This window comes from Homo sapiens, chromosome 15, assembly GCF_000001405.40.
Source record: "Homo sapiens chromosome 15, GRCh38.p14 Primary Assembly".
Lineage (NCBI taxonomy): Eukaryota > Metazoa > Chordata > Mammalia > Primates > Hominidae > Homo > Homo sapiens.
In genome coordinates, this window is record NC_000015.10 from 88,829,924 (window position 1) to 88,842,043 (window position 12,120).

Below are 12,120 nucleotides of genomic sequence, written 5' to 3' on the forward strand. Positions count from 1 at the left end.
GTTAGCACACATAAAACAACAGAAGAAAAATTGGGTGCTAAACAGTGTGTAGAAAGTCATAGCTGGGGGGAATACAACCCAGGGCCAAGGCCTGGTGAGGTTTCAGGGAGGAGGCCTGCAGGATCTGGGAGAGGAGGGTGGGCGTTCACGTAGCCAGCAAACATTTGCTGAGTCTACACTGATGTGGACTCACGCTGGGCCAGGGGAGGTGACATGGAGATGAACATTTCCTGACCATACCCTAGGGCTGGCAAACTGGCCTTGGTTTTAGGGCCAGCCTCAATGTCCCCAGGGACACATGGAGGACAGCACAATGAATGGAGAATGAGGCTTCATTCAAAGGAAAGAAAAGTGCTCATTATCCTTCCCCAGCCCGTTTCTTTATTTACTATTATAGTCATGCAACATTTAACAGGGATGCGTTCTGAGAAATGCATTCTTAGGCAATTTTGTCATCCAGCAACATGTGCAGTGGAGACCCCTCCACTAAAGTGTACTTACACAAACCTGGATGGTACAGCCTACTACACTCCTAGGCCATATGGTATAACCTAGTGCTCCTAGGTGACACACCCATACAGCATGTTACTGTACTGAATACTGTATTTTTACTGTACCTTTTGTATGTGTAGATAGGTTTAGATACACAAATACTTGCCTTTGTGTATACACAAATACTTCCCTCTGTGTATCTAAACCTATCTAAACCTATAAAAGATACAGTAAAAATCCTGTATAAAAGATAAACAATGGTACACCTATAGGGCATTTACCATGAACAGAGCTTGCAGGACTGGAAGTTGCTCTGGATGGGTGAGTGACTGAGTGGTGAGTGAATGCGAAGGCCTAGTGCATTATTGTACACTGGTGTAGGCTTTATAGACACTGTACACTTAGGCTACACTAAATTTGTAAAAATAAATAAAGTAATTGCACTATGACGCTACAACGGCTGCAGCATCACCAGGTGATCACCAGGTGATCGGCGTTTGTCAGCCCCATTAGAATCTTACAGGACCATCATCGTAGGTACAGTTTGTTGTTGACTGAAATGTTATGTGGCCCATGGCTGTAGTTACGTCCAGTAGTATGCTGGTAAATCCACTCTCAAAAAGGAAAAGAAAGAAAAAGAAAAAGAAGAAGTCTCACCTCGTTGATAGTGTCTGCTGATATCCATCATAACCAGTTTCAAACTACCAGTGTGATGTCACCGAACACAAAATTTGAAAGAGATGCATAAAATGGACTCTGGCCGGCTGGTGCCAATTGGCTGTAGCATAACACTGGTTCTCCTTGGAGCCCTGGGAAGGGGTGACCCTGATTGTTCCTCCTCTGGGCCGCACATGGCCTGTGACCTTCCCAAAATCACATGCTGCACTAAAGCGCTATCATTAATCAATACAGCCATGCACATCACAAGGAAGCAGCGTGTCTCTACCTGAGACTTACTGAATGTGAAGGGGTCTACCTCATTTGGCTGGGCACCACCTAGGTGCTCATCACATGTGAGCCTCCAGTCCCATCCTCAGCCCTCCGCCCCCCAAGGCCTAGGGTTGAAGGAGATCACTTCTAAGACGTACGGGCTGCCATTTGTCCATTCATTCATTCAGCAATTTCCTCTCTTTGTGCCACACACTACATTGGGTGCCAGGGAGACAGTGGGGAACAAGACAGACACAGCAGCTACCTTGTGAAGTTCATTAATGCTGGGAATTATGAGGGCCAGGCCCCCTGGCACTGAGTTCTGGTTTGGGCTCCACTTCCAACCTACCATATGGCCTTGAGCAACTCAGCCTCCTCCTTGGGCCTCAGTTTCTTCATCTGTAAAATGAAGAAGTTAGGCTTGATGTTCACTAAGGTCTCTCACAGCTTAGACCTTCTGTGGCTCCAGGGGGTAAAGAGAGGTCCAGAAGGCCGCCACAGGAGGAAGCGTTGGTTGGAGGGGCCAGGAATGTCTCCATGGAGGAACAGCAGGCAGGAAGCAGATTGGACCTCTGAAGATTCACCATGAGTCCCATGAAAGAGGAGGGGATGTGTTTTGGGTGGCTTCTGATGGTGGAACTCTTGGATGTAAATTATAATGTGGCTGAGCCATTTTGACTCAATCTTGAAAGTTCTTGAGTACAATTGGAGCTGCTCAGCCAAGGAATGGGCCACCTTGTGATGGAATGAGCACCTAACATGCAATCAGAGGCCAAAGACCACCTGGCTGAGCTGTATATACAGGATTCATGCCAGGGAGGTCATTATTGTAAAGCATCATGATCGTCAGTAGTGAAGGAATGAAAAAAAAGAAGTTGTGTGGTCCATTGTATTATGTGGAAAAGACAAATAGCATGCAAAAAGATTGCAATTACAGAAAAACACAAGTAGATACCTTAAAAAAAAAAAAAAAGACTAGAATGGCCAGGTACCATGGCTCACACCTGTAATCCCAGCACTTTGGGAGGCCAAAGTGGGTGGATCACTTGAGGACAGGAGTTCGAGACCAGCCTGCCCAACATGGTGAAACCATGTCTCTACCAAAAAATACAAAAATTAGCCAGGTATGGTGGCACACACCTGTAGTCTCAACTACTCGATGGTTGAGGCAGGACAATTGCTTGAACCTGGGAGGCAGAGGTTGCAGTGAGCCAAGATCATGCCACTGCACTCCAGCCTGGATGACTAGAAGGCAAACTATCAAAACACTAATAATGAGGATTCGGATTGTAGATGATGGTCATTTTTTTCCCCATTGTCCTATTTTCCAAATATTTGGTAGTATGATAATGTTGTGTTTGAAATGAATGCAGTTTTATTATTTATGGAAAGTCATCTGGTCCAACCCTCATCCTGGGACAGGAAGCCTCTCTACAACCACTAAACTCTCTTCCAATCCCCCAGTTCTGAGAGGCTCACTCAGGCCTGACAACCAGGGAGGTGGGAGGAAAGTTACACTGATGGATGCTTGCTGAGTGCCAGAGCCTGTGCTGGGTGCAGAGCCAAAGAAACAGTGTCCGGCCTGGAGGAGGGATGATGGCAGTCACATTATCTCACTCAGTCTTTGAAACAGCCGTGGGGCAGGTCCTAGATTATTAAGCAGTAGGCGTCCACCCACGTCGAGGAGGGGTCTCCACTGCACATGTTGCTGGAAGATGCATTCAGGGAGAGTGGGTGAGCTGCCTGTTCAATCCCATAATTTGATGGAATCCAGGCCAAGACCTTGGCCAGGTAGACAACCATGGGGTAGAGTCTGGCTGATGAGGAGGTGAAGGTTTCCTTGTCTGCAACCTGGACACATGCACGCATGCTCACACAGACACATAGCCTCAGCTCAAGCTAAAAGCACCTCACTTTCCCCTACCAAATCTCCACATAATGCTCTCTGAGAAAGTCAATTCCCTGGTGATGAACCCAAACCACATGACTCTCACCCGGCCTTCACCCAGCATCCCCTTCCTGCTCCCCAAGCTCCCCTCTCCACTTCATTTCAGGCTCCCCGTCCCCTTCCTCTGCCTCACCTATGCTGTCGCCCTGTCAGCACCTAATTCAGCTTCCCATGGAGAAAGGCCTCCCTGTTGACAGGGCCGTGCTGGGACTCAGGGCTGCCAAAGTCAGTCTTCTCGCATAAAAGGCTCAGTGAGTCCTGGAGACACTTGGAAGCCAGACAGAATGGAATTTCTCCCTATTTTCTTTACAGCTGAGAAAACACACACAAACACAAGAGCATATTTATTGCGATATTTCTATCCCAAAGTTTGTCTTTAAAAAAAAAAAAGAAATAAAATTAGTTTCTCTGCCCACTCCACCCCTATCCCCCTACCCCCACTCTCCTCCCCACCTCTTTTCATTCCTTCCCATTTCCTGGTTTAGGCCAGGGAGAGAAATCAAGCCGTCCAAGCCCCACAGAGCACTCCTACACCCCCGGACAATGTCCAGCTTGTTCAGAGAGTGAGGGAAGAAACACAGCTCCGAAAACATACACACAACCTCCCAATGAAGGGTGTTCTGAGGGAAGAACAGGCGGGCCTTGTGTCTGAACACGAATCCCTAAGGCTCTGGGAAGAGAGGAGCCGGAAAGTCTAGACCCCTCCCCAGAGTGGAGAAGACACTTTGCCCTCTGCCTTCTGGGGAACTATTTCCCAGCCGCAACTCGTCACATGGGGCTTGAACCAGAGCCCCTCATGGTGCCACAGCCTGCAGCCAGAGACTTTTCTTTAAAAGGCAGCATCTAGGTAGAAAAATCCCTAAGGAGACACAGGGGCTACTTCTCAGAACTTTGGGATTTTCCAGACTTTCTCCAGTGTGAGGATGACGTGCCTCATGCATTCACGCCATACCCCCAGCAGCACCCACAGACAGCCCTTTCATTTCTGGGGTGACTCGTATATGTAGCATAGGTGGTAGAAAGATGACACACTCAATCAACAGGAAGAAAGGGTCACTCGGAGTCCTGGGCCCACCCTGCCCCTGCCCCTGGCATTCCTGGATGGGAACACCAGTGCCCTCCCAACACCCCTCCTGAGCCTAGGGACTCCTGGGGTGCCCCCCTCATCCCCAAATCCATCCAGCCCCAGCCGGCGGTGACTGAGCCAAGAGCGACACCTGCTGGGCCACTGGACTCTGATAGAGCAAAAGTCTGGGAATGCCACGGGCGAGAGTTGCTGAAATCTCCAATCTTTTCTTTAGTCCCAGATCCTCCATCCGCTCCAAGGTTCCCTCCCTCTGTGATGCAAGCACTTCTTAAACCAAAAGGGGAGGGTAGGTGCTGATGCAAGTCCATCCAACAGAACAACTCGGGGAACATCACCAGGCATGCACCGTGGAGGGAAGGTCACAGGAGGTGTCTGTAATGGGACTGCACGTGTTCTAGGCCAGCGGTGCTCCATCTTGGCTGCACCTTAGAACCTTCCAAGCTCTAAAAATCCTGAGGTCCAGGCTGAAGCCCAGGTGATTTCAGTGTGCAGCTGAGGTTGAGAGCACTGCTCTGGTGGGTCTCCTGTACATTCTCTTGGGTCTTCTTGGGTCCACCTATGCTGGAGTCAGGGTTCCAATTGTGCACCTTTACACTGCGGTTGTCACAGACCTGTGTACTTATTATGACAGCTTTACAGCAGATGACGATAAGGAAGGTTTGTCTTTCTAATCCACATGAAGTCATTGATCTAGCAGGAGAGCTACAGCTTCCTAGGTCTAATTTCTCTCCTAAAATATTAATCCGTTCATCCCATAACCTCCTCAAGAGCTCTCTAGGTGAACATCTTTTCCCTGACATGAACCAGGCCCCTAAACCTTGCCTGAAACCTTGGAGGCTAGTCCATTCTAAAACACACGTGATCTCTGGATTTGAAGTTGGTGGCAGGCCCAAGTTTCATTAGGGATGTTGAGCAACTCATCACTTCTCTGGGCCTGAAGGACTGTGTTAGTCAGGGTTCTCCAAGGAAACAAACCAATAGGACACATGCACACAGACACACACATACGCACACAGACACACACATACACACACACACACACGAGAGACAGAGAGAGAGAGAATTATTATAAGGAATGGGTTCATGCAATTATAGAGGCTGGCAAGTCCCAAGGTCTGCATGATAAGTTGGTAAGCTAGACCAGGAGACCTGGTGGTGTAATTCTAGTCCAAGTTTGAAGGCTTGAGACCTAAATGAAATGATTGGAGTAGTTTCAGTTTGAAAGTCAGTAAGCTTGAGACCTAGGAAGAGCAGATGTTTCAATTCAAGTCCAAAGGGAAGAAAAAGCAATGTTCTAGCTCAAAGGCCATCCAGCACAAAGAATTCTCTCTTTCTCAGGACAGGTCAGTCTTTTCTCTCTATTCAGTCTTCAACTGATTGGACTAGACCCTCCCACATTAGGGAGGACCATCTGCTTTATTCAATCTACCAATTCCAATGTCAATCTCATCCAGAAACACCCTCACAGACACACCCAGCACAATGCTTGGCCAAATGTCTGGTTGCCCCGGCCCAGTCAGGTTGACTCATACAATTAACCATCACAGGAACTCATTCAGATGAGACTTCACTGGCTGAAAGATGGGAGGTTAGGTTTATTAGCCTAATGCCCGGAATTAAACTGAGAAACCTGTGAAGGTTTTGTGAGGGAAGGATTTTTTAAGAAAATATCTCACAAACCACGTGCAGCCTCCTTCTCTGGAGATGATTCCAGGTCCTTGGGTGTGGAATTATCACTTTGCATCATATGTCACATGACTCTGCTTGACCTCACCATGCCTTCACTGTCTAAATAACGCCTCTGCCTCCCCTCTTCCAGGTGAACTATGACCACTTTACTCTGGGTTTTCGTGACTCTGAGGGTCATCACTGCAGCTGTCACTGTAGAAACTTCAGGTGAGGACATTCCTATACATGTTTCACGTATTCAGTAGGCATGAGTAGTGGGTTTGAGTACTGGGTACTGAACCTGGTGCTACTGGTCCCAGGGATATAATTTCCCCTTTCCTGGACTTTTCCTGGCCCCACCCTTCCCCTGTTGATGCATGCATAACTGTGATGGGATAGCACCCATGCGCGGGCACACTCTTGCAGGAGCCTTGCTCAGATAACACTGCTCCTGACTGCCCTCAAGCCCCGACAGCTGGCAGGGAGAGCTCCCGGCAGGTGCCCTCCTTCCCTCCATGGATCTCAGTGAGGACTGCTGCGCACTGAGCTTGCCGGAGGGGCAGGACATAGACAAACCAGTGGAGAAAGGACCATTGAGGGAGGATCGGCTGGAGCACCAAAGAAGAAAGGTCACTTGGGAGACAGCCAGAGAAAAGCCCCAGGGAATCAGACAGGTCTTTGCCTTTTCTGCAAACCATCCTCGGGAAGCCCCAGCCTGGTCTCGTGCATGTGGAAGGCACTGGGTCTACTGCTAATCCAGCATTGGACCAAATGAGCAAAACTTCCACTGACCCCAGGATGGGCTTGACCCCAGAAGGGAAGGTATGTCTTCCCCAGGCCCAGACAAGAGAGGACTCTGCTCTTGGCTGTGTATTTTAGAGGCCCCCACTGGCCATCCTCCAGCCTCAACCCTCTCCAAAGGAAGGGGAGTCAGCAGGGCCAATGTGTCTGCCCAAATCTGCACTTCCCCTTTAGAGCACATTCTGGGGTCCCAGGATGCCCAGAATTTCCCCTCCAAGTGGGCCCAGGCCACATCCAGGGCCTGCATGGGTCCATCCTCCTACGGGGACACCATACCCCTGGTGGGAGCCACCCTGGGCCCAAGGGAGGGGCCAAGGAGTGGCTGTTTGTATGGGGTGTGGGCAGAGCAGGGCTGTGGGGCTGAGATAAGCACAGCAGCACATGAGACCCCCTCACAGTGCAGTCAGTGTGGGAAAAAGAAGGCGGCCCAGCTCCCCATGCTCCCACCCAGCCACTACAGCCCAAGGCAAAACACCAAGTAATCCAAGAATTCTGAATTTAAATCTGTGCTTTCAGGTCATTTTGAAAGGTACCATTGTCAAATAGGAAGATAGGACATAGAACTTAACAATCTGTTGGCCTGATTTACAACTTTTGCATCTGTAGACATATGGGACAAGGGCCTTCATTTGTACTGTTGCTGGGAGACCCACAGCCATGCAGCCCCTGGCTGTACCCAGGGGTGGTCCGCCCACACAGGGAAACCAGTTCATTAGGTTTGAGTGGGGCTTTAAAAACTGCTGAGCTGGGCACGACAGTCCCTTTCAGCTCTCCCCTGAGAACCACTACTGCTAAAACCAAGCCATGTCCAGGGTGCGAGGGCCCAGCACTCGGAGGAAGATGCCTGTGGAAGGGGCCAGTGGGACTGCCCAGGACATCAGAAGGTTAAGGCCTGGACTCTAAGCATTCCTCGCTCCCCTCCCCTTGCCCTGTGATGTATCTACAACCCACAAATATCTGAAACATTTTTTATTTCAACCTGTAGGCCCCCATGAAAGAACAGGTTTCATAAATGTATGAGTCTCCATGAAAGGTGCTTTTTTTTTTTTTTTGGAAAGCTGTTTTTTTTCTTTTTTTTTTTTCCCCATTCCCAGCAGATCTTTTGTTTCTAACAAGATTTGGTAAGCTTGTTGCACCTCCTCTATTGACACTCTCCATTATATTAACATGTTTGGAGTCTGATCCTATCCCATCGCCTCTCCTGCATCTGACTGTTTGCACACCAAAAGGTCTGATCTTCTCGGATGCTTCTCCACCTGAGTCCCCTGACTCCCAAACAGCAGAAGAGAGTGACTTGTCCCGGTGGCAAAATCAGGCTCGCACCCAAAAGCAGACCTCCCCAAATGGGACACATCTTAGAAGTTTTCTGTCTCAGCTTTAAAATTGTGTAGATTACTTTTCTACCCCAACATAATTTTTCCCAAAATCTTTGAGTTAAGCTGTCACTCCAAGGAGATGGGTCCTGTTTTATTCCACGCTTTGGTGCCCACTGCAGTACCCCAGTTTGAGAAACAGGGAGTTGGTCCTGACTCTGACGTCTCCCCTCCCTCCTCTGGAATCCTTTTCTAGCTCCATAGTTTCTGTCTCGAGATGCAGAGGCCAGGGGTCTTGAGGAACACTGCTCTGGAAAGGGCGTGGCAAGCCTTTCTGGGAATTCCCACATGACACGGGAGCATCCCCATCATAGAGACAGACACACTCATCGGATTTCGCTCTCTCAGGAGAGTGCATTGCTGGAAGGATGGATGGGGAGGCGGGGTGGTCCTCTCTAGGCACTAACAGGTCTCTCTTCTACCCCACCTCTCCCACACAGACCATGACAACTCGCTGAGTGTCAGCATCCCCCAACCGTCCCCGCTGAGGGTCCTCCTGGGGACCTCCCTCACCATCCCCTGCTATTTCATCGACCCCATGCACCCTGTGACCACCGCCCCTTCTACCGCCCCACTGGCCCCAAGAATCAAGTGGAGCCGTGTGTCCAAGGAGAAGGAGGTAGTGCTGCTGGTGGCCACTGAAGGGCGCGTGCGGGTCAACAGTGCCTATCAGGACAAGGTCTCACTGCCCAACTACCCGGCCATCCCCAGTGACGCCACCTTGGAAGTCCAGAGCCTGCGCTCCAATGACTCTGGGGTCTACCGCTGCGAGGTGATGCATGGCATCGAGGACAGCGAGGCCACCCTGGAAGTCGTGGTGAAAGGTGAGAGCCTCCCACAGGGACAGACGCTGCTTCACCCACATAAAGAACCAGAGCAGTCTCCGCAGTGCAGGCGCAGGCAGGCTGGCCTTCAAACCAGCTCCTCCACGCACCTCAGCCAAGTTACTTAACTTCAGCTGCTTCCTCTGTGACATGGAGCTGGTAATATCATTCTCTCTGGACTTAGGGAGCATTAAATACTTCCTGGCTGTGGTCACAGGTAACTGACAGTTTGTGCTTCCCAAGAATCCTGTGATCCGGTGGGTCTTGTGATCGTGCCCATTTTACAGACAAGCAAACTGAGGGCAAGTGACTTGCCTGAGGTTACCCTGGAAATGAGTCAGAGCAGTCTCCTGACAGTTCATCCTGGTGTCTTTTCCCTCCCCCTCTCCACTCTTATTCTCAGTTCCAGAAGCCAAAGCAAGGGCTGAAGACTCCCTGGTCTCTTTCTCTCCATGGCCCAAGGAGAACAGTCAGGTCTTTGGTTAGCTTCAGGACTTTGGTCAACACCAGATTTTTCCCAGGGGGAGGTACAGTGGGAGACTCTGTCAAAGACAGTTCACTCCTGGGCACACCTTAAATGAGGTTTCCACTAGGGTGGCCCTGGGCTGAGGGTGCAGGGCATTCTGAGTGTCTGTTTCTCTTAATGCAATATGGGGGTCTTGGAGTGATAAGAAAAAATTATAAGGAGGCAGATTTTAGTTTAATTCAAAGAACTTTCTCTTTATCAGTATTATCATAAGTCTTTAAAAAGGAATGCCTTATAAAGTAGTGAGCTCCCCATTACAGGGTGTTCCAGCAAATTCAGAAGGATCACGTGCAAAGGTGTACAGGGAGTCATGCATCAGCCCAGACCAGCCAGTTCCCTAAGGTCCCTTTGACTATTGCCATAATTCTGCGAGGGCCTCGGTGATCAGAGACTGTGCCTGACCAGCTCTTCCGCTTGTGGGCGTGTATGTGTCTTGCAGGCATCGTGTTCCATTACAGAGCCATCTCTACACGCTACACCCTCGACTTTGACAGGGCGCAGCGGGCCTGCCTGCAGAACAGTGCCATCATTGCCACGCCTGAGCAGCTGCAGGCCGCCTACGAAGACGGCTTCCACCAGTGTGACGCCGGCTGGCTGGCTGACCAGACTGTCAGGTGAGCCCTAGCCCATCAGCTAGTGGGGGCCAGGAGTCAGCAGCCACAGGGGAGTGGGGCGGGTGCTGGGTGGAACGTTGGCCAGCACTGAGCTGGTGCCAGCATGACACTGTGGCCAGCCTAGGTTAGAGGCCGTGGTCACACCTTGGCCAAACAGCAGCTCAATGACCCATCCCAAACCCTTGTTATTGTGATTCTCTCTTGCAAATGGGATGAGGGACTGCTAGCAACCTTGCCCTACATGTCATTATTTTTCCTACCCATTTTTTTCTTTGCCATGATTTCCTCACGTTTAAACTTTGGTGTCCTCTGTATTTTTATAAACAAACTTCCATCCTTTTTGTTTTTAATAAGGCAAGTTATAAATTGAACCCCTTGGTACATCCTTCCCTGAGCGTAGTTGCTGAGGAGTGAGGTGCAGAGCAGTCCAGATAGACCCTGCCCTCAAGGGATCTCAATGCACTGTGAAGGCAAGATGATATCACCCATTTCAGGAGCATCATAGCTCCAACAGCCAAAAACACAAAGCCTCAGGAAGGAAAATGTCTTTGCAGTCTCGGGGTAGGAAAACAGATCTTAGGATACAAAAACTATAGCCATAAAAAAAAAAAAAAGATGAGATAATAGTCTAGCATAGAGCAAGAGCCCACACCTGGGGGCATAAAGAACTGGACTCAGCCGGGCGCAGTGGCTCATGCCTGTAATCCCAGCACTTTGGGAGGCCAAGGCGGGCAGATCACGAAGTCAGGAGATCGAGACCATCCTAGCTAACATGGTGAAACCCCATCTCTACTAAAAAATACAAAAAATTAGCCAGGCGTGGTGGTGGGCTCCTGTAGTCCCAGCTACTCGGGAGGCTGAGGCAGGAGAATGGCGTGAACCCGGGAGGTGGAGCTTGCAGTGAGCCGAGATCGCGCCACTGCACTCCAGCCTAGGTGACAGAGCGAGACTCCGTCTCAAAAAATAAAAGAACTGTACTCAAATTCCAGCTCTGGCACTTGGAAGCTGCGTGACTGTGGACAAATGATTTAACACCTCTGAGCCCCAGTTTCTTCAAGTGTAAAGTAGATTGATGATAGCACCTACCTCACTGGGTTGACATGAGACTCAAATGATATAGAGTGAGGCCTAACAAACTATGGCCCAGAGGCCAAGTCCAACCCACCCCTTGCTTCTGTAAATAAAGTTTTATTGGGACACAGTCACACCCATTTGCATATCTGTGGGTGCTTCACGCTACAGTGGCAGTTGAGTGGTCACCACAGAGACTATGCAAAACCTAAAATATTTACTATCTTGCCTTTTATAGAAAAAAATATGTGAGCCCCTGATAGAGAAAGTGTGTTTTGTACCACTAAATATTCAGTAGTGGGGGCTGCCTTTAATCATGATTCACTGTAAAAACAGATAGGCAGTTGACATATTCAGAAGAGACATTGTCAAATGCAATATTAAGTTGCTGTTTCCTCCCACGGGAGGAGGATTCAAAGGCAGAGGCCATGGGCTTCCCTTTGTCCCCTGAGTGTCACACCTCCATTTCGGGTTCCTGGCAGATACCCCATCCACACTCCCCGGGAAGGCTGCTATGGAGACAAGGATGAGTTTCCTGGTGTGAGGACGTATGGCATCCGAGACACCAACGAGACCTATGATGTGTACTGCTTCGCCGAGGAGATGGAGGGTGAGCTGCCCTGCCCACCAGGAGGCACCCAGCTCCCTTCCCAAGGCCACCTTCCCCTCCCCATCTCCCCACTGACACCTGAGATCACACAGGCTGCCAGCTCAGGGCCTGACACACTCTGTCCTCCTCTGCCATGAAGGGAGGTGGGCTGAGGCCTACAGGTCTGCACCCCTCGC

At 49.9% G+C, this 12,120-nt stretch overlaps 1 protein-coding gene across 9 annotated transcripts in view; it reads left to right on the forward strand.

Moving 5' to 3' along the window:
- ACAN (aggrecan) overlaps positions 1–12,120 on the forward strand; it is a 71,918-nt gene that overhangs the window by 26,488 nt on the left and 33,310 nt on the right. For all 9 annotated transcript variants that reach the window (NM_001369268.1, NM_013227.4, NM_001411097.1 and 6 more), the window contains 4 exons: positions 6,277–6,353; positions 8,740–9,123; positions 10,089–10,263; positions 11,817–11,944. In NM_001369268.1, coding sequence (NP_001356197.1) covers positions 6,284–6,353; positions 8,740–9,123; positions 10,089–10,263; positions 11,817–11,944 — 757 coding nt within the window. In that variant the 5' untranslated portion in view covers positions 6,277–6,283. The remainder of the gene's footprint in view (positions 1–6,276; positions 6,354–8,739; positions 9,124–10,088; positions 10,264–11,816; positions 11,945–12,120) is intronic.